At 51.4% G+C, this 25,021-nt stretch overlaps 1 protein-coding gene across 19 annotated transcripts in view, besides 4 other annotated features; it reads right to left on the minus strand.

Annotated features, from left to right (window-relative positions):
• FAM3D (FAM3 metabolism regulating signaling molecule D) overlaps positions 1–25,021 on the minus strand; it is a 32,829-nt gene that overhangs the window by 516 nt on the left and 7,292 nt on the right. For 2 of the 19 annotated variants that reach the window (NM_138805.3, XM_011533351.3), the window contains exons 2-9: positions 21,090–21,140; positions 19,213–19,320; positions 14,854–14,877; positions 11,048–11,165; positions 9,201–9,259; positions 5,666–5,716; positions 2,680–2,764; positions 1,833–1,959 (exon numbers count right to left, since the gene is read on the minus strand). In NM_138805.3, coding sequence (NP_620160.1) covers positions 1,833–1,959; positions 2,680–2,764; positions 5,666–5,716; positions 9,201–9,259; positions 11,048–11,165; positions 14,854–14,877; positions 19,213–19,320; positions 21,090–21,102 — 585 coding nt within the window. In that variant the 5' untranslated portion in view covers positions 21,103–21,140. Of the gene's footprint in view, positions 1–1,832; positions 1,960–2,679; positions 2,765–5,665; positions 5,717–9,200; positions 9,260–11,047; positions 11,166–14,853; positions 14,878–19,212; positions 19,339–21,089; positions 21,141–23,060; positions 23,305–25,021 lie in introns of those variants that run through there. The other 17 variants (XM_011533348.3, XM_047447431.1, XM_006712967.4 and 14 more) reach the window with 14 other exon arrangements.
• Positions 5,970–6,470: an enhancer, noted in NCBI's record as "H3K4me1 hESC enhancer chr3:58626158-58626658 (GRCh37/hg19 assembly coordinates)". NCBI's record gives its function as "activates a minimal SCP1, AML or CMV promoter by ChIP-STARR-seq in naive H9 embryonic stem cells {active_cell/tissue: H9 hESC(naive)}" and the evidence as "EXISTENCE:reporter gene assay evidence [ECO:0000049][PMID:30033119]".
• Positions 6,273–6,432: a silencer, noted in NCBI's record as "silent region_14491". NCBI's record gives its function as "represses an Ori minimal core promoter by ATAC-STARR-seq in GM12878 lymphoblastoid cells {active_cell/tissue: GM12878}" and the evidence as "EXISTENCE:reporter gene assay evidence [ECO:0000049][PMID:35858748]".
• Positions 6,471–6,971: an enhancer, noted in NCBI's record as "H3K4me1 hESC enhancer chr3:58626659-58627159 (GRCh37/hg19 assembly coordinates)". NCBI's record gives its function as "activates a minimal SCP1, AML or CMV promoter by ChIP-STARR-seq in naive H9 embryonic stem cells {active_cell/tissue: H9 hESC(naive)}" and the evidence as "EXISTENCE:reporter gene assay evidence [ECO:0000049][PMID:30033119]".
• Positions 14,633–15,132: an enhancer, noted in NCBI's record as "H3K4me1 hESC enhancer chr3:58634821-58635320 (GRCh37/hg19 assembly coordinates)". NCBI's record gives its function as "activates a minimal SCP1, AML or CMV promoter by ChIP-STARR-seq in naive H9 embryonic stem cells {active_cell/tissue: H9 hESC(naive)}" and the evidence as "EXISTENCE:reporter gene assay evidence [ECO:0000049][PMID:30033119]".

Genomic DNA, 25,021 nt, shown 5'->3' on the forward strand with positions numbered 1-25,021 from the left:
GTGTGGGATGTTATTAACCCACTTCACAGATGGGGAAACTGAGGCTCAGAGAGGGGATGCAACTTGCTCAAGATCTCAGAGATGGGATCAGAGCCCAGTTAACTGCTCTCACGCCCTGAAGGGTAACCAGTTGTTGGAGAGATCTGGCCCCTCCCCACAAATTCTCTGTGTCCCTCTAGGATACCTCAAATAACAATAATGATAGCAACAATAAAAAGAAGACTCCGACCATGTCTTGAGCGCTTGCTGTATGCCACGTGGTGTTCTGCAGGGCCTTATGTATTTAATCTGCACAGTGGCCCTAGGGAGTGTGCACTGTTTACATCCCATTCTACAGATGGGGAAGCTGAGGCACAGAGGGTCACTGCCCGTAGTCACTGGCTGGTAAGTGGCAGAACCACCACATAATATTAATTAATACTAATAATAAGGGGTGGGGTGCAGTGGCTCACACCTATCATCCCAGCACTTTGGGAGGGTAAGGAAGGAGGGTCACTTGAGGCCAGGAGTTCAAGACCAGCCTGGGCAACATGGGAGACCCTGTCTCTAGAAAACATAAAAAAATTAGCTGGATGTGGTGGCACATGCCTGTGGTCCCAGCTACTCAGGAGGCAGAGGCGGGAGGATCGCTTGAGCCCAGGAGGTCGAGGCTGCAGTGAGCCGAGATTGTGCCACTGCACTCCAGCCTAGGTGACAGAGCGAGACCCTATCTCTAAAATATATATATACTAGTAATAAGTATGTAAGAAGAATAAAATCACTTAGGATTGTGTCTAAAATGCTCAGGTTTGGATTATGAAAGAAAAAAACGTAAATGGCAAAATCTGCTGTTGGAATCATTGTGGCTGACTCTCAGGAATTAAAAAAGAGATTCTAGATGCTACCTGCCTAAAACCCAGTTTCCCAAGTGTGAGGACTAAGAACAGACCGGCTTAGTCCCATTAGGGTGCTTGGTTCATTTTTGTGTGTCGGTCCCGGCCAGCTGGTTGCAGATGGATGAAGATGATGCTGGGCTTCCTGTACTCCCACGCCTCCTCTGTCTTGCCGGTTCCCCTGGGTCTGGAGCCCACGCTTTGGGGCAGGAAAGCACCACCTGCCCATGCAGCCTCAGACCTCTTGCCTCTTGCTAGGGCCCTGCTGCAGCACCCCCACAGGACATTCGGGAACCACACCCGGCCGCCCCCGCCCACCGGCCTCCTGCGTTCTTCACTGCGTTCAAGTAATTTCTAGTTACCCAAATACATCCTCTTAGAAACACACGCATACAGACCAAGACCACATTTTCTAGCTTAGGAAAGAAATCCTCCCATCCCAGTCCTGGTGCCCTTCCTAGAGCTCAGCACACGGTTCCCTGCACCTGCCCCCTCCAGCACCTCTTGTCTGATGATGGCATCGGCCTCCTCCCTGCCTTCTGACTTCCCTCCTCGTTTTCTCCATGCCTCGCCAGGGAGGCTGAAGGGATGGGGACAGGCATCCTGCTCCTTTCCCCGGGATCCCCTTCCCCGCCACACAGCTCCATGTCTCCATTTCTTTCTCGTTCCTTCATGCCTCACTTGCCCATCATCCTTCTTTTCTCCTTTTCCCTCTTCCTTTTCTGATAATTATCTGTATACCTGCGTATCTATATATGACCCAGCTTTTGCGAAATGGCCAAGGCAGCTTCCTGGCCAATCAGACCACCCTGGCCTTTGGAGTGAATGACAGCCAGGGGCCTCTCCCCAGACAATCCTCCCAATTTTAAGGCCCCTGGGAGGTGAATGGGTGACTCCTTCCTACCACCACCCAGCTCCTCATGCATCCTTCATAGGGCCGGGTTGTGGCCCAGAACCCACCTGCTCAAAGGGGCTTTTACCCCTGAGGTCTTTGGCTCCTATGAAGACCCAGCTGTCCCGGAAGCCCAGTTGTTTTGCGTAGGAACTCCCCAAGTCAGAGAAGAGTTTCCTGCTTTCATCGTTCATTCTGCAGAGGACCAGAGAGGATGGTCAGGATGCGGGGGTGGGTCGCAGGGGCATCAGGTGGTGGGATTCCCATGGGGCAAGGTTCCCACTCTTCTCCCCATTCAGCATCTGCCCTGGGGGTGTCCAGAGAACGTGGCTGCACTCAGGAAGGACAGGGTAAAGGGCTTCAAGACTTCCTCTCTAAAAGGGCTTCAGATGGGGCTGGAGATGTGTTAAAACAGTACTGCTCTATTTACAAATACAATACACATTCATTTGGAAAATATGGAAGATCACAAAGAAGTAACTAAGAAATACAGTCTCACCCCTCCTCCCCTTAGTGTGATCAGTGTATGTATTTCCATACAGTGTTTTTTTTTCCCCTCACTTAGCACTAGAGGGTGAGCGATTTTCCACGTCCTTAAATACTTTCCGCACCATCATTTTTGATGCAGTCTATCTTCATTTGTGTATATATCATATCCTATGTCACCGTATGTCATAGTTTCTGTAGCCAGTCAGCTGTTATTATTGGACAGGGAGAGGGTTTCCAGTTTTTCACTGTGGTAATGAAGGCTGTGATGAACCTCCTAGAACATTTCTTTGCATACTTGTCTGATAATTTCCTCGAGATAAGTTGCCAGAAAATGGATCTGGCAAAAGAGCAGAAAAGGGTGTGCAGGGTTTGAAGGTATTCAGTTTGCATCACTGTGTGGCCTGGCAGGTAGAGTTTTCTACTTACTTGGTCCCTGGATCGTCGTAGGAGGCCACCAGCACCAGTGCACCCCCCGGAATTTCTTTAAGGAATTTCACTAGGTGCATAACATCTGGGGGAGGAAGGAAAAGGTGCTGGTGATTTAGGGGAAATGAGCCCTGGTCATTCTCATGCTTGTCTACTGCCCCATGATGCAGGAGTCAGCTAGGCCCGGTGGACACTGGGCTGAGCTCAGAAGCCAGGAGGAAGAGCATCCCAGGTGGAGCTCCCTGTAGCCCTTGTCCTAGGGGAGGGCAGAGTGACCAGAGTGAGGGGAACTCATCCAGGTGATGTGGGGTGGCTTCTGGACACTGGAATTTAGAAATTCCCCTCGTGACAGGGATTTGCAGCTGAGGGTGACCACCACTGGTAGAAGGGCCCTTGTGTGCCTACCCCTCTGGGGACGAAGTGCCATCATCTCTCAGGTGCTCTGGGCCCTTTGCATACCCCAGACCCCATTCTACGCTGGACAATGCCCAGATTATCTGTGCTGACTTTAGGTGGTATAGCACGTGGCCTCAGACAACTGAGATCCCTGGGAGAGAATTCGAGTAGACTATGAATACAACTCTCCTGCTGTGTCAAGGAGCAAGGCTCTGCGTGTGTCTTTAATGCCTCCCTAACTTGCCAAGCTCTCTATTTAACAGAGAACAGCTCTAGGTTTAGCACCTGGGGGAGGCATCAGCATCCAGCTCACTGTGAAGAGGCTGATTTGTTTCCCTTGTGATTATTATTATTATTATTATTCTGACACAGAGTTTCTCTCTCGTTGCCCAGGCTGGAGTGCAATGGCGCGATCTGCGCTCATTGCAACCTCCACCTCCTGGGTTCAAGCGATTCTCCTGCCTCAGCCTTCCAAGTAGCTGGAATTACAGGCATGCGCCGCCATGCCTGGCTAATTTTGTGTTTTTAGTAGAATTGGAGTTTCTCCATGTTGGTCAGGCTGGTCTCGAACTCCCAACCTCAGGTGATCTGCCTGTCTCGACCTCCCAAAGTGCTGGGATTACAGGCATAAGCCACTGTCCCAGGGCCCTCCATTGTGATTATTTTTATGGTCACCTTCCCTGCATAACAAGTGATAATAGCTTTCCATTTAAGGCAGTAATATAGTTTCCTTTTAAGATATATTTACTTAGGTAAGAAAAAAAGTGATCCAATTTAAAGAAAAATACTAATAATGCAGATATTATTCTAGATATGGTGCAACTCGAGTGGGCTCAAGTTTGGGAACAAGCAGCCTAGTGGCTAAAGCAGAGACTATATCTGTCAAATGAGGATGAGTAACAGCCCTGCTTATAACCTCTATGAAGTGCAAATGTGACAATAACTTTGGGCATACAGTAAGCGTACTCTAATGGAACCAAAAATTATTAGCAGGATTGGCAGCATAATTTTCAGGACCCAGTGCAGAATGAAAATGCAGGGCCTTTTAATAAAAAATGATTAAGTATTTCAAGACCACGATGGCAGAGCATGAAGTCAAGTGTGAGATTCTTCCAAGCATGGGCCCCGTGTGACTGCCCTGTCCCCAGGTCATAGGCCCACAAAGCTGGCCTTGATTATTAGTATTCCAGTGCGGACCTCTAGGACCTTGGGGAAGAAGCCATTCTCCCAACTAAGGCCAGCTGCCAGCCAGCTCAGTGACAGAGGTTTCCGGTCAACCACCACAGTCACTCTTCTAAAGAAATGGCCCTTGAACTTTTATGACAAAAGGAGGGAGCTCTTAAAGCACCATTAATTTGTGTTGTTAGCAGATATTACGGTCTGGTGCTTGTCTGGATGGACGGTGGGTATTTGAAAAAATAAAACATGCCTTCTGCTAATGATCACCTCACTTTAAAAAGCCATCATCCCCTTTTGTTTCCTGAAGGGAAGGACTACTTGCTCACAATGCTTCTGTTTCTGGGTCCCCATCAGCCGTGGCTACATTCAAGTTTATCATAAGGCATTTTAAAGCTTAGTTTCATCTTTACGCTTTTTTTCCTTTTCATTCTGACAGATGATTTCCTTGCTTCTGAGTCATCTGGACGGAATGAGGGAAGAGGGGAGCGAAGGGGAAGAGGAGGGAAGGGAGAAGACTAACATAGCTTGCCTGGACCCCTCCACCAGTCAGGCTGGATACCCTTCCACCAATTATTTCAGGTTATCTAATCTTCACATCAATTTTATGGAGTGGAAACTATAGCTGCCTCTATGTCACAGATGAAGAAACTGAGGCTCAAGAGGCATCACTTGCTTCAGGTCATGCCGCCAGTAGTCTCTGACACCGGAGACTGGACGTTTTCCATAAACCTGGCCCCAGGCCACGCTGAACATCAGTAGGACTCCAGGCAGAATGTCTGGTCCTCAGCCCCTGGCCTGTCCCCATCTCCTGTTGCCCCTGTCCTCAGCTCTATCCTGTACCAGGAGGAGGGACCTTGCACACCGCATGTGGGCACTTCAGTGGGCCCATCCAGGCTCCATCCACAGCACCCTCCCATCAAGCAACAGCCAGCCCCTGGTCACCCCTCCATCCTGGGGGAGTGTCAGAAGCCTGGGGGTGGGGCACACCTGGTAAGAGACCTGCGTGGGCCCTGATGCAGACTCCAGGTCAGCACACTCCTAGCTCTGCGGACTGCTCACCCATGAGTTGGGATGGAGATGGAGGAGGGCCGGGTGGGGTCTTATGAAGCCCTGGGCTGAGGACAGGGTTCCAGCTGCCCATCTGACGTTTCCTGAGCTCACTTCTTAAATAAAGCATTGCACTTGAATCCCTGTCTCAGGATCTGAGTCTGGGAGATCCCAACTGAGATGGCCAGAAGGAGTTTCGAAAGCAGCAGGACACCCTCAACCCCCCACCGCACCTCTTCCTGGGTGCCTCCTGTGGAAAGAAGCACCAGGTACCTCGAGCCACCAGGTCCCTTGCCACATGAAGAGGCTCAGCCCTCTGCACCGCACCCCCGACTGTGACTTCAGTGTCAGCAGAGGCACCTACCTCCAGAGTACATGTCAAATGCCTTCTGTCCCAGCACAGCTCCCGTGGTTCCTAGGGGTTAAGAGGAGAACGATTATCCCCTGTAACACGTGTCATTCTGCCTGTCGTTCTGCTGAAAATGCCTAATCTGTAGTCTAAGATCTAAAAACAGAATAAGAATCTAATGAAATCAGGTCCTATAAAGAGCACGCAGGACTAAAGTAGGTTTCCAGGAATGGCTGGGCTCATCTGAGAGGTTCAAGAACGTAATGGCTGAGGACATCTCTGGAATCGAACTGAGTCTACTCAGTCTGAGTCGGTGTTCTGTCCTACCAGTTTCTAACGCAGGACTTAGCATTTTGACCTCAATTTTTGCATCTGTACAATGGGTTGTGGGAACTAAAGGAGATACATTTAAAATATTAATAGTAGTCATACAAGATGAATTTTAGCTGCAAAATCAAAATCAAAATGACAGTCGTCATTATTATTCCCACCTAAATAGAAAACCTACAACTGGAGTCCTCCACCTCTTGAAGGCAAAGGGATTTGTGTTGGGCTAAGCGGTACTCAGTTTCCCAGGGTCCAGTAACCTGGATTGCGTTTGTGGGTTTTGTGGGAGGAGGTGGCCGAAGGCCAAGCCCTCCAGGGAACCGAGTCTTCTGGAGGAACGTTACAGTTCGCGCTCTCCGCCGCTAGATGGAGGCGTTGCAGAGGGGATGGCAGCTCCGAGGCTTACGGAGGAGGGTGGGGACCAGGCCTAGGCTGTCCAGGTGGCGCGAGCAGGCTCGCTTAGCAGCCCCTCCAGGATTCTCGGGAGCCACGTAGCGTGAACGGAATGCTTCACCTGGGGCTCTTGGAAGGAGTCTATGAACCCATGGGGCTGCTTTTGTGATCGCGTGCGCTTGTGAATGATTCTGCAATTGGAGAGTGTTGGGGGTGGGGGTGGCGGCCAGCATAGCTGGAAGATCCTGAGGACTCTCTGCCCCACTAAAGGTTAAAGACTACTGGATCCTTAGCAATCCTTGTGTTGTTCTTGGTCATATAGATGAGGACACTGAGCCCCTTACATGATTTGTTGGGCTTCCCCACATCTGGCATACATAGCACGCATGTATACAGTAGGTGCTGTATGTGTGGTTGAGACATTTCTAGTCTAGGGAGGTAGTTCAGGTGAATGATTAAGACCTGCAGTTGACTCGATCCAGGTTCAAACGTAGGTGGTTTTATAGGCTGTGTGACCTTGGGCAAGTTGCTTAACCTCTTTTTTTTTTTTGGACAGGGTCTCTCTGCAGTCCAGGCTGGAGTGCAGTGGTGTGAGCTTGGCTGACTGCAACCTCGACCTCCCAGGCTCAAGCAATCCTCCCACCTCAGCCTTAGCTGGGACTACAGGTGTGCGCCACCACACCCAGCTAATTTTTTTACTTTTTGTAGAGACGGGGCGGATTCGGGGGGTGGTTCACTGTTACTCAGGCTGTTCTTGAACTCCTGAGCTCAAGAGATCTGCCCACCTCAGCCTCTCAAAGTGCTGGGATTACAGGCATGAGCCACTGCACCCAGCCTGCTTAACCTCTTTGAGCCTTAGTTTCTTACCTGGGAAATGGGGATATTGAGCATAGCTCCATCCTAACACAGTGATGGGGTTAAATGAAAAGGCACAGTAAGTGCCCAATAAATGCTAGTTCTTATTGCCATTGATGGTTATTTTCATCCTTTTGGCTTTGTGAGAAGCAGGGAAAGAGGCCTAGTCTGGGGCCATCTCATTGGAGAATATTCAAAAAGCTTTTCTCAGGTGCGACCCATTTAGGGGAGAAAGTCAGCAGGTTTCAGCCAGGTCAGCTGCAGCCTGTGCCATTTCCTGCCTGCCCTCGCTGTGGGGTGAGGGCAGATGGATGGGAGTGTTGATGTATGCTGAGGCTCCTACAGTCTTCTGGGGTCTGGCATGCACAAAAGAGCGCTCTGAGACCAGCCTGGGCACACCCTCCCTGCAGGAGGGATGCCACTTCATTGAGGCTGGAGTGGAACAGGCCTGGGCCCTCCTCAAAGCTGCAGAGGAACGGCTGCACTCAGCCTCCTGCCACTCCCTGCCCTGGCCCTTCCTGGGCTCCTAGGAAGTTGGCCAGGGCTGTCCTCTGACTCCCATCTGTCCAGGAACAGCCCCATCACTGCTCCAGGCCTCGACTTCTCCCCTGACCCATTAGGGTTTCTTGGCAGAGCGAGAAAAGGCTTTCTCTGGAGTGAAGTGCAGGGGCTTGGAGCTGGCAAGGCCGGGGCTCCCATCCTACCCTGTTCCTTCCTAAGTGTGCTCATGTGGTCCTGCCACACACAAGCTCGACAAGTTCCTTCCTGAGCATCCCTTACACCTTTTCCCCAACTTGCCCTGACCTTTGTCCCAGAAGTGGCCCTTACAGCCAGTTCTTAGAAAACTCTGTTTTCTAAGAACAGAGGCAGAGAGGAGGTCTGGCTGGGGCTAGACCACCTGGTCCTTACCTGACCCTGTAAGTCCACTCCCTCCTGAAACGTGTCCCTACTTCAGGCTTGGCGGCCCTCTGGCCTCCTGTTTAAGTGTGTGTCCTGCAGGAGATGCAGGGTTATCAAGGCCATGGATTCCCTTGTGGTCTCCCTGCCTCCAGCCCCCCTACTCCAAGCTGGAGGGAGGTTTCTGGAGTGCATGCCTGGCCCCTCACACACTGCTCAAAGCCTTTCCGTGGCTCCCTACTGCTCTCGGCTTCCAGTCACACTTCTTAGCAGGCTTGCTAGCTCCTCATCCTCTGGCCTTGCTGCTGTCCCCAGCCTTGCCTCTCTATGTTGCCCTGCAAACCTCTCTCCCTCCCTTTCCCTTCTCCTCCCTGCACTGTGTTGCCCCTGCCTGGAAAGAGCCTTCCCCAATTTTCTCCTGGCCAGCGCCCACAATCCTTCAGGCCTTAGCTGGCCATCAGCTCCCTCTGGAAGCCTCCCCTGAACCACCCGGGGTCTGTCCCCTGTTCTGCATCCCAGCTCTGCATCCCAGCTCCCATAGCTGTGCTTCCTGCCCCTCCAGAGAGGCTCACCACATTGAGATTGTTTGTGAGCCTCACGGATACCTACGGAGGCTGTGAAGCCAGGGCCTTTCTAGTTCTTGGCTGACCCCCAGTGTCCTGTACAGAGCCTGGCCCACAGTAGCTGCTGCCTGTATTTGTTGAATGAATGAATGAAGGTGTATACTCAGCATGTGATCTTGCACTGTCATTGGTTGTCCCCACATCCTCATTTGTGTTGGCTTAAGCAGAGAGGCTTTGAGGATCGGGTCATGTTTCACTCATGTTCCATAGGAGAAGTGTGTCCTCCTGAGATAGGAGCATGTGGCAGGGGCCTGGCTAGCTCTGCGGTTCTACAGCTCTGCGGGTCTTTGAGACCTTCTGTTCCCCCAGGCCAGCCACGCTTCCCCTCCTGAGCTCTACGGGCATTCCTGCCATGAGGTAGGAGCTGAGCCAATGTTGGTTGAATGAATATGCCGCTACCCCCTACCCTCCCTGGTTCTGGGTGGGAACTGTCTGGGGATGGATATGCAACTCACCATTCACCAGGGCGATGTTTAGGCCTCTGCCCACATTGTTTTTCACAGGACTCATGATCCTGAAGACAATGAAGAAGAAATATGACAGTCGGTCCCGAGTGTGGAATGAACACTCTGCTCTCCCAGCTGGGGAACTCCGTGAGGACCCACATAAGCAATGCAGAAGCATTGGGAAACACATGCAATAACTGGGGCCATCTGTTTTCTCCTGAAAACTAGTGGTGGGCTGGATTCTCTGAAGAGTTTCTCAAGGCATGTTGGACCAGAACAACCTGCTCAGAGAAGAGGCAAGGTCCCTGCCTGGGCCTCTGAGGTGTTGGAGGTGGGGCCAGCCCACCCCCAGGCCGTGAGGCCTGGCTGCTGGAAGGAGGCAGGACCCAGAAGGTTGCTGCCATCCTGGGGTGTCTGAGTCCCCATGTGGCCCAGCTGTGTTCCTGCTGGCCCGGCATCCACACCCTTGTCTCTGGATGTGCGGTGGGAGAATTGTCTTTCTCCACGAACAGGCCAGGTGGTTCCTGGGATTGACCTCTCTCTCCCAGGTGTGGACAAGCAGAGCATCCTACGTCCCCAGCTACAGCGACTGGCTGATATGGTTTGGCTGTGTCCCCACCCAAAGCTCATCTTGAATTCCCACGTGTTGTGGGAGGGACCCAGTGGGAGGTAATTGAATCATGGGGGCAGGTCTTTCCTGTGCTGTTCTCATGATAGTGAGTAAATCTCACAAGATCTAATGGTTTTATAAGGAGGCTGCACAAGCTCTTTCTCTGCCTGCTGCCAACCATGTAAGATGTGACTTGCTCCTCCTTTGCCTTCCACCATGATTATGAGGCTTCTCCTGCCACATGGAACTGTGAGTCCATTAAAATCTTTTTCCTGGATAAATTACCTAGTCTCGGGTATGTCTTTATCAGCAGCGTGAAAACGGACTAATACGCTGGGCTAGGCTTGGTCATGTGACCCAGGCCAATCAATGAAATACAGGCTTGGGACTTTTGCAGGGATAATTTAGACAGGAAGGCTCTTTTCCCATTAGGGTGCTAGGCTGGGCTAATATGTCAAACCAGCTGGTGGTCTCCCTCTTTAACCACATGGAGAAATCCCTTGCAAGTAGAAAAAAAAAAGCAAAGCTATTAGACAGAGGAGGGTAGAGCTGAAGATGGGGTGATAGACAGCCCTGATGACATTGTTTGAATCCCTGGATCCAGGTGGTCCTGAAGCCTGCCTACCACCCCTGGTCTTTTAGGTATTTGAACCCATCACTTCCTTGTTTTGCTTAAACAAACTGTGGTTAGGTTCAGAATCCTGGTTTAAACACCCGTCCCTGAGTTCTTTCATAGGTTGCACTTGCTGTCCCAGGGCCTTTACTGTCTAGGTTGGATGATAGGTACACAGCCTTTCTCCTGTACTGGGGTGGAAGCCCTGGTGCCTGCTATATCTGGGCTTTGATGCCTGGGTCAGGATCTTGAAACTTCTCTGCAGGCATTTCCTTTCATGGGAAGCCCAGCAACTTGGCTGTTAGACTTGAGGTCAAATCCTGGTCCTGCCACTGGGCAGGTGACCCTGTCTGCACCCCACTATCCTCATCTTTACATTCTCCTGGGGATAATATCCCCACCTCCCAGGATGTCGGGGGAATGAATGAGAGATGCTGTGAAGCACCAGGCAAGGTGCTGGTGGATGTGGGAGCTGTTTCAATTATTGTTATTTGTGCCTCACACACCCAGAGTGAAAGGGAAGCTGTGGGCTGGTCTCACAGGCCAGCCCCTGCAGCCTCTGAGTTTTTTAATGAATGAATGAAATAAAATAAAATAAAATAAAATAAACATAGTTGTGTCTTAGGTACTTACATGCGGTCTTCAAAGCACATAGTAGGGCCCACGACGTTGGCGGCCCCACTGCAGATTTTAAACGCAAAGTAGTTGGCTGGGCAGGGCTTGATGAGGCCACACTTGTACTTTTTAACCTCTGGGGAGGAAAGAGACCAGCCTTGGTGGGCAGAAGCTCAGGAGGTACTTGGGGGAGAAGGAGGGGAGGGCCAGGGCTAGGGCCAGGGCGCAGCTTGGGATGAAGCTCAGAGCCTCTTTCTGGGGGAGCCTTCGCTGATTGCAAAGTCTGGGAGATGTGCCCTTCTGGGCTCCACAGTGCCTCCAACAGCCCCCACCAGAGCACACAGGACCAGCCCAGAATGAATTTTTGGGCTTCCCTTCACAGCTCCAGCCACAGCAGGGCACCCTTGGTAAATGTAACCAGAGTAAACCTGAGTCACTATGACGAAGGGACTCTCCTGAGAACCTCTCGTTTGGGCCATGGCAGCCTTCTGAGTCCCCAGAGGCCCCTGTTGAGAACTCCCAGGGACCCTGGCGGGGTGAGTGGGAGCACTTCTGTCTAGCCAGGTTCCCTTGGGCAAATTCTCAACCTCCTTGCACCTCATCTTATCTGCAAAATGGGGTATCTGTGGTGCCTCCCCCACTGGGTTCTTGTGAGGAATACATGAGTGTGGTTTAATGCTCAGTACACATTGGCTATTCTTCTCATCATTCATTCATTTATCACTCATTTACTGAGCATCTACTAAGTGCCTGATGCTGGAATACAACAGAGAACAGGCAGACGGTTCCGGTTCTCCCACTGGGAGCTCAGCACGGTGTTGGGAGCCCACTGGGTACTCACTAAGTGGCACCTCTGGTGATGCTGGCTGTTCCTAAGACCTGCATCTTCTCCATGCAGCCTTCACAGGGTAAATTGGGGAGGTCCATGCCTGGGGGGAGATGCTGGTGGGACCTAAAGATGTGGCTGAGCGGCTGAGCCCTCAACGTGCTCTGTGAGTTCTGGGATGACACCCGCCCTTGCAGCCTGGCATGTTCTAATTCATCCTAATGTGTGCTTTTTAGCACCCGCTGACAGTTTGGAAGGCAGCATTAAGGAGGACTGGGTAAACATGGATTTGGAGAATGCTCATCTGCAAAGGGAAAACGGGGGTTGGGCAGCCTTTCCCTCCCCAGCCCCTGTGCCAGGCATCTGGCCAAGGTCTGCCAGTGTGTGCTTTGGAGCAAAGCTGCAGGCTCCTTAAGGAAGCTTGCACATGCCAAGACCTTGCTGCATGCAAGGCACTGGGGCCAGGACTTTGTGTTTATTATCTTATTGACTCATCCTGAAAACTCCTGTGTCTGGCACATAGTAGGCAGTGGGTAGTCTTCACTGCATAACATGTACAATATTTGGGCCAGGCTACACCTGAGGCTGGTAGGGACCATGAGGTTTCCAGGGCCCTCCCTGGTCTATAGGGAGCTTTTAGGTGAATCAGGAAAATGCACCCCTCTGGAGGGGCACAACCCACTGGTGCCAGGCTTGGTGAGCACCTTTGAGTAGGTAAAGGTGCCCCTTCTAGGAGCAAATGCAGCCCACACCAGGGAACCCTGCTGGCTTGGTTTCCCTCCACTGAGCAGGCAACCCTGGGAATCTGAGAGGAAATGCCTGTCCAGGGCTCCCCCTCTCCTGGTTTCAGCACACACATGTGATGGGTGGAACTGAACTCAAACCATGACATTGTCACCCAGAGAGTGGGCAGTGGGCAGAGGCATCCGTGAAGGGCTGTTCAGGAGAGAGTGGGTATCCAAGCCTGTGGCTTAGGGGAGAGAGGGCCGGGCTGGGGGTGGACCAACTCCCCTTCTCCTCCTTCTGGGCAGGATCCCTATGAAGGGGCCCAGCCCCCACCTATGGGATTGGCTGAGGAGTGATGCTGGGGAGGGAAGCCAGGGCATGGCTCCTGGTCTCCTACAGCCTTGGGGCCCCACCTCCAGCCACATGCACCCCTCACCCGGGGATCTCACCTATGCAGGGAGATCATTCCCAGCCCTGGGGACCACTTCTGGTGTTTGCCCAGAGCCTAATCAATTGCAGCTAAGTCTGATAAACCTGATGTCAACAGGCTGGCTTAAGCAGGCTTTTCCAGCATTGATTTTCTGACCATCCAGCCTTCACAGTCACGCTGCTGGATGAAGGGAGATGAGGCCAAGGGGGCCTCAGCCTCTGGGAGGCAGGAGATTTGCTCTCTGGGTTCTGGCATAGAAGGCTGCTCCCATCAGCTGCCTCAATCCCTGAGGCCCAACCCCCCCGGGAACCCTTGTGCTGTTGCTCAGAGCATGGAACTGGTGTGCTACCAAGAGCACTGGGGCAGGGATTCATTCAGGAAATAGGCTGCTCTTTCATTAATCTGCTCTGTGGCTTGCCAGAAATTGCTCCCTTTATCTTTGCCAGCTGTGAAATCAGGAAGTTGGTTTAGATCAGGGTTGTCAAACAGGTTTCCTCTTAAATGTCAATGTGGACCTCCTGTTAAAGGCTTAATGATAAATCTCTCAAGGCTGCCTATGGGCTTGGAGGGAAAGAATGCTGGGATTGATTGGTGATGTCTGCCATGGGAACAGGCAGGGTGGAAAACAGCATGTGTGCTTGAATTTGCTATCCCCCCAGCAGGTGATGTCTAAGTGTTTGATAGCAACAAGATGCTGTGACACTCTGTGTCCACTTCAGAATATGACTGAGGAGACTTCAGGGAGCTAGGGTTAAGGGTGTGGAGGTGAATGATTTGTGTTGCTTCATATTGTCTTTGCCTTCTGTAATCTCACAGTGTACTGGGGCACCCATGTCCTTCTTAGCCAGGCAAAATCCTATTTTGGGAGCCACAGCCCTCTTCAGAGTCACCACCATGTTGAGAAGGAAATGGAGAGGGCCTGGAGGTGCTGCCTCTTGCAAAGAGGGGTTGAGGGGGTGGGCTCTGGACTAGATGGTGGAGGGGGTTTGACTTCTGCCTCACCACTTACAGCTGTGTGACCCTGGCCAAAAGATTTCACTTCTCGGTGCCTTAGTTTCCTTACCTATAAAAGGGGCTACTTATAGCACCAACATAGGGTTGTATGTAGGATTGCATGAGATGCCTGTGAAGTTCTGAATCCAGTGCCTGGCACATAATAGACACTCAATCATCGTTACTAGTACCATCATCACAGCTCTCCCTCCCCTTCCTTGTCCTGACTCTCTAGCCAAGGACTCCACTGGAGCATTCTTGCCTTTAGGCCTTTGCAGAGGGGATACCTCCTCCCTGAGGCCTTGCAGGGGGTGCCCCTCCTGGAACCCAGAGCACTTTCTCCACTTCTCTTAGGCAGGTCTGGCATTTCCACCCCAACAGACAATCAGCACCCACTTCTGTTTGTCTCTGGGGCCCCTGTAGTGCCTGATGTGGTCTCTGGCACTTTGCAGCAGGAACCCTGAGCCAAGCCTGGGGTCACTGCAATGGGGTTAAGGAGCACAGCCCTGGTCCTCGGGCTCCCAGCTGTGTGGGGTTGTCAGAGACAGGGGGCAGGGGCAGGGTTCGGTCCAGACTGCAGCAGGGGTACTGGAGAAGGGGCAGAGTTGAACTGTGTCTCTACAGTCTGAATGACTGAGAGGGGGGCCACCCCTGCCACAGGGCTTAGAGGCTTCAGAAGGCACCATTGGGCCATGGGAGGAGAGGACTGGGAAGAATCAGGAAGCCCAGGTTTCTCTGGCACCTGCAGGGCTCAGAGCAGGGGCCCTGGGCCTTGTTGCCCTAGGGCAAATGGGAGCAGGGGGTGAGTGGATGAGGTCGGGGGAGGTGTGGGGCTGCACAGATACTCACGGATCTCCTTGGTGGGCGAGGCTGCTGGAGAGAAGACAGAATCTGGTTAGAGGAAAAGCACTTCGGACCCTCCTGCAGGATGGAGGTTGGGGGCTGGGGGCTGGGGAGTGGGAATAAGGGGATTTAAATTGGCGCCATTGAAATGAACTAAAAATGCCTTGCCACTGTCACCCCTTCACACACATACATACACACACAGCACACATATACACAGATACACATGTGTACACACACGCACACACATATACACATGCACACACACACACATGCAGATATATGTGACACTCATGTATGCATAGAGACACACAGGTATGGTCACATATACAGACACACATGTGTGCACACACAGACGTGTACACACACGCAGACATACACATGTGTGTGCATATACACACATACACTTGTACAAGACACACACACGACTCTCCCTTGGTTCAAAAGAAGCTGGGCTGTTTGAGACCATTAGAGTTTGTGCCCTAGTTCCTAGTATATGACTGCATGAGACATTTAACCTCCCTGGGCCTCAGTTTCCTTGACAGCACATGTAGATGGCATGTGTGATGACAGCCACCCTCACAGGGCCATGGAGGGGACCCAGTGAGATCACTGTGTGAGGGCCAAGCCCGGTGCCTGGCCCCTGGGCCCCAGTGAAGGGTAGAGTTGTGCTGCTGTGGGTGTTTGGCCCATATTGGGGTGTCTCTTTCCTGACTGCCCACAGTGCATATTGTCTGCACTGGCTCTAGGGCCCTTGGCCACTTCCTGAAATCTTATACCATATCCTAGTTGTTTCTGTGGTTCTACATCGTATCTCCCACCACGCCAGCAGTGACGCCTGGAGGACAGGGCCTCCAGAGGAAGCAGAAATCCTAGGGGAAGAAACTCTCCTTTTTTGGGGGAACCCCCCCCAACACTTACACGCTTTCCATTTGGTTCTCAGGGGCTGTCCATCTGGAAATGTCCCTACCCCTTGCCTCCAAGGCCCCAGGAGTGGCATGAGACCCAAGCTGGGTCAATCATACTATTACATTTCTCTGGAGACAGAGCCCTTCCCTACTTCCCTATGTTGATACATAGTTGGTGGGGGCAGGGGGAGAGGGAGAGACAGAGAGAGAGAGAGAAAGTGCTTTTTCAGCCAAGGGAGAAGATAAGCATCGGGAGAGGAGCCATCGTGCCTGCCTTAGAGAGAAAGCTGCCCATGGAATGAGGCCCTAATCTGTTGAGGTCAAGTAGCAACAAGCAAAGCCCAGGGATGTAGAAAGAAGAGAGACCAGCTCTGGGGACTTCATGGGAGACTCCTGGATTCAGCCACACCTGAAGCCACAAGATGCCCATAGTGGACGATCAAGACCTCATGTTTTGTTGAAACCAGTTAAAGTTGAGTTGGTCACTCTCATCTTTTTATTTTTTATTTTTATTTTTTTGAGACAGAGTCTCGCTCCGTCGCCCAGGCTGGAGTGCAGTGGCGCGATCTCGGCTCACTGCAAGCTCCGCCTCCCGGGTTCACGCCATTCTCCTGCCTCAACCTCCCAAGTAGCTGGGACTACAGGCGCCCGCCACCACGCCCGGCTAATTTTTTGTACTTTTAGTAGAGATGGGGTTTCACCGTGTTAGCCAGGATGGTCTCCATCTCCTGACCTCGTGATCTGCCCGCCTCGGCATCCCAAAGTGCTGGGATTACAGGCGTGAGCCACCGTGCCCGGCTGGTCACTCTTATCCGAAAGAACTCTGATTAACTTTCTAGGCACAGGGGTTCTTAATCTGGTTTCTGTGCCATGATTCCCTTTGGTGGTTTGGAAAAGCCCATGAACTCCTCTCAGAATAAAATTATTCTCACTTCCCTTGAGACACTTATCACTTTATACTCCAACAGACTGTGTTATTAAATGCATAAAGTAAAATAGATTGGAAACCAATTATATATCAATATAATAGTAAAAACAAAAACCAAATTTGTGCTATAGTAATATATGTGCTTCTATATCAGTGCATTAAATAATAAAATGAGGGTATGTGCACTCAGGTTAGGAACCTCTGAAGTAAATGAAAATTACTCCCTTCAGTGCTGAAACATCAATGGTTTTTACTGGCCATCTTTCCCACTGGTTACATTTCCTGCCATTGTAAACATTTCCTGAGACTCTGCATCATGTTAATGCACTTTCATTTTTCCACATGCTGTAATGAAGTCTGTTTCTTTCTCTGACTCAGACCATGAGCAGGGCCACATGTTCCTCATTGAGGGTCCCTGGGGCCAAACACAGAGTTCAAAACCCAGCAGTCACTTAATGATGGTTGGTTGGAGATGTTGGCTTGTCAAACCCCAGGTAGTTGAGTACTGAGAGAGAAATAATTACTGGGTCTCTTTTCAATTACTGCCCCTCTCCCACCTCGGACTGGGGCACTCTTCTCTAGAGGACACCCCTGAGCCTCCTACACTGACTTGGGCCCCTCACCTTTGAGGCCATTAGTGCAGCCACATCACTGTCTAGTTTGTAAAAGCAGCGATCCTGGGTGGGGGTGGGGGGCGCGGGGGTGGGGACACTTGGCCACTAAGCATCTATATAAACTTCTAAATCATCTCAGCATGGGCTGTGGAACATGCTTGACAAGAAGCAAACAAGGTAAGGGATCGCAGACACTCCACTGTGGGGTCATGTTCAAGAAGGAGTGACTGGTTTACTTGCTGCCTTAGGAAGCTGGGAGAGGCTCAGGTCACTGATGTTTGTGATGATGTCAATGTACATGGTTCTTGGTCTTCAAGCGGGATGAATCCAGAGATATAAATCCCTTCCCTTCACTTCTTCCTTTGATCAGAAAGGATATGAATCTGGGAGACCTGGGTTCCCGTTCTTGTTCTAATATCTCCAAGAGGAACTTGGGTGAGTTTTTAAATCTCCTCAAGCTTCTGTTTTCTCAGAACACATGTGAAACCACATCAAGGATTGTGCTTGAGTCCATTCCACAACCACACCATAGATCACTCTGTGGAACATTTGTGCAGGTTAAATGAGACTATGCATGTAAAGCAGCTAGCATCCAGCATCCTTCCACCTGTCCATCCATTCATTCATTCATTCATTCATCTATCCACCCACCCACCCACCATCTACCCATCTAGCCATCCACCCATCCATCTACTCACTCATCCCTTCTCCACCCACTCATCCATCCATCCACCCTTCCCTCCATCTACCCATCTACCCATCCACCCATCCATCTACTCACTCATCCCTTCTCCACCCACTCATCCATCCATCCACCCTTCCCTCCATCTACCCATCTACCCATCCACCCATCCATCTACCCACTCATCTGTTCTCCACCAACCCATCCATCTACTTATCCCTCCATCTATCCATCCAGCCATTCACACATTCACCCACTCACTCATCCATTCTCCACCCACTCATTCATTCGCCCATCTCTCCATTTGCCCATTCATCTGTCCATCTACTCATCCCTCCATCTACCCATCCAACCATCCATTTATCTATCCACCCACCCACTCAGCCATTCTTCACTCATCCATCCATCTGTCCATCCATCTGTCCATCCATCCATCCATCCATCCATCCATCCATCTCTCCATCTACCCATCCATCCATCTACTCATCCTTCCAACTACCCATCCATCCACCCACCCATTTATCCATCCATCCATCCGTTTTTTTTTTTTCACTCATCAAATGTTTACTAGGCATCTGCTCTGTGCCAGGCACTAGAGAGGTGGATGCACACAAAATAAAATCCTTGTCTTCAGGAAGCTCACATTCTAGGGTGTGGAGACTGGCAACAAACAATGAAACATAAAAACCATAATGACAGATAATGATGGTGTTCTGAAAGGAAAAGCCTGACATGAGAGAAGCTAAACTAGGAGGAAGGGGTGCAATCTTAGCAGGGCAACCTTAGCTGAAACTCGAAGGCTGAGAAGGAGCCAGGTGGGAGGGCAGGTGGGGGGGATCTGCATGAAGAGATACAGGAAGAGGGAGCAGCAGGTGCAGGTGAAGACGCTCAATATATGATTTTCTTTCTTCCTTTCCTCCCACCTCCCTTCCTTCTGTTCTTCCTCCCTCTGTCCTTCCTCCTTTCTTTCCTTCCTTCTTCGGGTCACCTTTTCAAAGTGGTCCTCGATGTGGGCACATGTGTTGCCCAGGCCCTTGCAATGCACCTCTGTTCCCCATGGACTCCACCCTTCCTGGTAGTCTGGGGGTGCCCCCTCTCCCTGCAATTGCTGGGGTCCCAAAGGCAGCACAGCTTGTCATGTCTCCTGGGTCACCTAGGGATGGAGGGAAGAATATGTCTTCGGCCCCCAGGCCTGGTCTGCAGTTCCTGCCCCCAGCAGTGAGCCCCACTCACCCAGCCAGCGTGGCAGACGGATGGTTTTCATGCTGAAGCTCATGTAGCTTCGAATAAACATCCATGTCGTGACTATGGCAAAGATGAGGGCCAGGAGGCGAAGCACACCTGCTGAGCAAGGGGATGCTGCCAGGAGACCACAGAGCCAAGACCACATTGCAAGACCACGTGTGAGTTCTTCCCAAATCCCACAGACCCCATGCTATAGGCTCAGACCACATCCATGCTGGGGACCAGACCATGGGACCATGTGGTAAGATGTGTGAATTTGTCCAGTGGCCAGTTAGTGAGATTGTGATGCCAGGTCATGTGGCAACATTGCCCCAAGTGGGTCCCCTGGGAGAGAAAGTTAAAAATGTGCCTGCCTGGGCTCCACTTAGCCCTCCAGAGGGAGAGAATCTCTAGCAATGAGGCCAGCATTCTAGACCTTTCTGTAGCCCCTTAAGGGGAGGCCTGAGAACTGCAGTGGGAGGGCAGGACTCTGGGAGGGGAGCCCTGGAAAGGGAGTCAGGAAGGCTGTGGCCAGTGCTCAGGGCAGCCAGCAGTGCTGTGTGACTCTGAGTAGGAGCTCAGCCTCTCTGAGCTGAAGTCCTTCAGGCACAGAGCAGACCTGGTAACACCCTTGCCCCTGAGCTTGTTGGCAGGGATATTGTAGTTGTCAAAAGTAGGCAGCCTCCAGGTGGCTTGGGGTTGGGGCTGCCCCCCACAGTTTCCATCAATTCTCCCTCAAGGCCTCCACAAATAACCGCACACTGGACTTGCTGTGCAGCTTCCAGACAAGCCACAGCTCCCTGGCCCCTGCCTCATGGCCAGATTGCTTTCTGATTCCCCATGTGATTGGGGAACAACCCCACACATGGGGACGAGCCACCTGGAGTTCCCTTTCTTTACAGGGACCGGAAAGCAGGCTCCATTTCACATCCCTGCTACCTTCTGAATCAGACCCACCCATTCTGCTCTGACTCTTGAGGCACAGGCCCAGCTGTGGCACCCCTCCCTCTGACCTCCCTGTTGGCATCTCCCCTGCTCCCCAGCCCCGAATTCAGCTCTAGAGCCTTGAACTAGTCTCTGACTACTCAGGCTGGGGAGAAGGCCCGCCGGGTCCTGTGGGGTGGGATGCAGGTCTGTGGGGATCCCTGGTCTTCAATGGCACAGCACGGATCTAGGCACCCAGAATTCCTCTTGGGTATCAGCTCATGTTCACCCAGCACTCAATTTTGTGCCAGGCACCATGTGAGCAACTTTTGAATACATTATCTCAGTTCATTCTCTGAGTAACCCTATGTGCTGGATACATTGATTATTCCCATTTTACATATGAGGAAACTGAGAGGCGGTCACTTCCCCACTGTCACTTGGCTAGTAAGTGTCAAAAGTGGGGTTTACACCCAGAGAAGTAAGCCGACTTCAAAACCCTGTGCCCCTGACTCCTTACAGCTGTTCTAGAATGTAAATGAGGCAGGTGCATTTCGTGTCTGCTGCCTCAGTTTCCCTATCTGTACAAAGGGGGATACAGTATGAGGGTGTGGACTAGAAGGCCTTTGCCTCCCTCTAGAATTTTTATGGTATAAAAATTCTAGAATAGCCCTCCTCGAGGTAAATATTTTTGTCTCTAATTTCCAACCAGGCCAAGTGTTTCCAAGATGGGCAGTCTCAATGATCCCAGCCATGTGGGGCCTCTGTGCAAAAGTTCCTCATGCCTTTCAGCCTAGAGACAGGAAGTCGCCTCTTCTACTCTTCCAGCCTCCCCTGGATTGCTTTCCTCCTGGAATTCGGGCCTGACCATTTGAGAACAGATACAGCCAAATCACTGTGAGCCCAGGATGGGTGGACACAGCTGACAGAAAAATGACTCCAAAACCAATTTCAGAGCCTACCTGACACTCTCATCCTGTCCAGGTGAAGGGTGGCTTGGGGTCAGCTTCCACCTATGGAGAGAAGAAAATCCAGTCGGAAACTGGCATCAGGTCTGCAAGTGATCAAGCCTGAAGATGAGGGAAAGGGACCTCTAACTGTGGAGATCATAATTCTTTCAGTTGGGTTCCTCACCACCTGCCATATGAACAAGAGGGCAATTTTCCTCCTTTCCTGTCTGCCTCCATGTCTCCTTCACTCTTGCCCCTGGAGTTTTATATTCAATTCTCCATGTTTTTTTGAAGTGCAGAGATTAGAAAGTAGAGGAAGGTGTAGTCTGGTAAGCCACTGTCTTTTGGGAGATTTGATTTATTCACTTATCCATCTATCCATTTGTTCATCCATCTCTTCACCCATCCATTCATCAACCCATCAGTTGATTAATCCATCCTTCCATCCATCCATCCTCTATCTGTTCACTTTTCCATCCATCTGTCTATCCTCTATCTACCTGTCCATCCATCCTTTCAGCTGTCTATTTAGCCCTCCTTCCCTTCCTTCCTTCCTTCCTACCAGCCAGCCAGGGAGGTTGAGCTAGCTAGCTGCAGTGAAACCATCAGGGAGCAGAAGCCCAATCGATCTTTGTTTATTGTACCAAGATAAAGAGTAATCACAACTCACGTATTGCAGGTGACTTTGTGCCAGGTGCCATCTATGCATTATCTCTTTAATCCTCACAACCCCCATGTTAGGGATGAGTAAGCAAGACCCACCATGGCTAAGTTCAGGGTTATTCAGCTTGCAAGGGTGAGAGCCAGAATTTGGATGCAGGTTTCTGGCTGCTGAACACTCCCTGAAACCCCTCTTCATCTGTCCTACTGCGGTCTCACTGCCAAGAATTTTTATCTCAGAGGAGGGTTGAAACCAAAGTTTTCTCCCTTATTCAGTTCTGAGCAGGGCAGGGTCATCTTTCTCTTCACCTCCCCCTGTGTCACCCCCCAGGTGCTGGGCAGTTACCAGTGATTTGCAGCTTTGAAACCCCCAGAAGGTCTGTGGAGACTTAGAGGACAGGAGGTCTTTGGTCCCAGACTTCCCACACCAGCTCCAAGGCAGCAGGTAACCTTCTCTGACTGTGATGACCTCTCCCACAACTCTTCCTGTCCCCTGCCCACCCCAGAGTCTTTATCCTAAAAATCCATCTCAACAGACATGGTCTCCAAAGTTCAACTGCCAAAGGCTCAGACCTGAGACAGGAGACTGGGCTCATGCCTGGCACAGCCCCCAACACCCTCTTCAACCTTGAGCAAGTCTATTCGCCTCCTTGGCCCTCCATATGTACATTGAGAGGTGCTCGGGCTGAACCAGTCCTTAATGTTTAAGCAACAATAACAGCAACAGCAGCAGCAACTGCAAAACCACACCTCCTCTTGTGAATTGTAACAGTCCTCCCACCACCCTGATCCTACTCCTCTAGGGCCTTCCAGATTAGAAAACCAAGCTGTCACCTGGCTCTACCCACAGAAAAATTGTGGAACTTTAACTTCCTGAAATTCAGATTACCAGCTTCTTTTTTCCAGATAAAAAATATATTATGATCACGACTACGCTTTGGATGCGACCTACAGTCCAGGAACCTAGGTTCTTGGATGAGACTCAAAAGACACTCGGAGGAACCCCATGTTAGAGGAGCCAGGAGAGTCGGTGGCCGGACAGGATGGAAGGACAGGGACAGGGTCAGAGAGATGGGGTTGGATGGACAGACAGACATGAATATTCACAGAGGGTGTGTACAGAGACACTCCAGTCTGGGACAGAGTTGAAGGGGGAGACGGAGAGAAGGGGCGGGGTGGTGGGGAAGAGAGAGAGAGAGAGAGAGAATGAGAAGAGGGAGACACAACAAGTACTTTTAATATGCGCACACACAGATTCAAAGAGAAACACTCAGAGACAGACAAGAGAGATAGGGACAGAGACAGAGGGTAGGGGACACACACCTGGGCAGAGGGTTAGCCTCTTGCTGTCCTGTCCATGCTGAGCAGGAAATCTGGCTTCAGGGCAGTGGGGTGGAGAGGGGCAGGGGCCAGGGGTCAGTCCCCATTGGGCGGTGAGGGCTCCCCAGCCTGCTCTTCCTCTGGGCTGAGTTGCCCTCCCAGCACCTGCAGAGCTACCTGGTGTCGTGAGTTTCTAGCCTGCTCACCCTGGCAGCCCGTGAGTGCTCTGGAGCTGGGGCCCAGGACTGGCCTGCTGGGGTGGGGAGGGGGAAAGACACTCGGAGCAGGTACACAGGGTGGAGCAAGAATCCCTCTGTAGCCACCCAAACCCAAAAGAGTGTGTTTTCTCCTTCCTGTTGGAGATTGTCCCAACCTGTTATTCAGGTTACAAAGTTGCCCGGCAAAGGAACGAGGAGAAAAGTTCTATTGCCCTGGATGCTTACCTAGCCAGCCTAGCATGGCTAAGTCCGCTTAGGGGTGGTGTATGTGCAAGTGGCAGTGGAAAGGGAGGGGGCAGGTCTGGGGACAAGGTGGGGTTGGTGAAGGCATGAATCACTGCAAGCCACCCCGTTCCTCCCATTGTCTGTCCTCACTGTCCTTGGACCTCTTCCTCTGAACTGCCCTTCCCCATAGCTCCCTTCTCATTTCTGACTGCAGGTCAGCCGTGTGTGTAAGCCCCAAGCCTCTCTTTTCAATGGCAGGCCTAGGATGCGGGGCATTGAGGAAGTGCTGGATGAATATTTGGAAACTGAATGAATTGAATTCTTGCATCGTCCTGGAAGGTTAGAATGATTAAACCACCAGATAGAGAAGAAAGTTGAAGTTCAGAAAGGGCAAGTCACTTGTCTAGGGCCACACAGTCAGTTGTGGAGCTCATTTCCAAAGCATTCCCTGAGCATCCCTGGGAAGATTGGGGGAGATAGGGCTGTGAGCAAGACAAGTTCTGGAGCAGCCCCGGGCCTTTGCACTTGCGAGTCCCTCTGTCTGAATACGGTTCTCCTATTTCTTTGTCTGGAATACTCCTTTGTCTGGAATCCTTCAGGTCTCATTGGAGAAATCACTTCTGGGAAGCCTTCCCTGACTCTCTGAGTCAAGGTTCAACACCTACCTGTGGTCCTGGATGGGAGCACATCCATCATGGCACCCGCCCTGTCATAAGGGTCTGGCCAATCAGAGCTTTGCAATTTCCCTGTGATTGGTTCAGGAGTGAGCATGTGACCCAAGCAAGGCCAACCAGACTTTTCCCTGCAATTGATGTATGGGAAACTGGGGAGAGAGAGGCTCTCTTCTCCCTGGAGATGCTAAGCTAGATGTGATAAGTCTGGGGCTACTGAGGTCCCATCCTCAACCACTACGGTGCATCCCTCCTGTGGTAGACGTGTCCTGCCAGCAGATGCAAATACAGGGGCAGAGCAGCTGGGGCAATGCATGTGATCTTGGTCTTAAAAGCATCAGGCAGCGAAAACCTGTGATACTGGGAGAAGAGAACGAATTTGTGGATCAGACAGACCTGGGTTTGCCACTTACTAGTTGTGTGTTTTTCCGCACATCTCTCCAGGCTTTGATTTCTTCCTTTGTGAAAAGAAGGTGATGCTATCTACCTGTCCTGGAAGGGATGTTGGGCAGTGAGGCCACCTGTCTGGAAGGGGTCCGCCGTCCTGGCAGGGTCCACTCATCTCTTCCCTGTTGACAGGCCCCCTTCACTCTGCTGCCTCTCGCTAGTGCACCTCCAGGGCACGATTCCTATACGGATGTTTGCTCTTTCTGCAGACCCAAAATGCCATCACAGCTCCTTTCTGCCTGCCGGTCTGTGACATTTCTTAAAGGCCCTACAGGAGCCGGGATGTCAGCACTTCCTGTTGCCTGCGGCCTTCTGTACACAGGGCCTTTAATCTCAACCATGACCTGTCCCAGAGCCAAGATGGACAGAGAAAGAGATGCTGTCTCTCCAGGCTGAGAAGGTG

This window comes from Homo sapiens, chromosome 3 (genome assembly GCF_000001405.40).
Source record: "Homo sapiens chromosome 3, GRCh38.p14 Primary Assembly".
Lineage (NCBI taxonomy): Eukaryota > Metazoa > Chordata > Mammalia > Primates > Hominidae > Homo > Homo sapiens.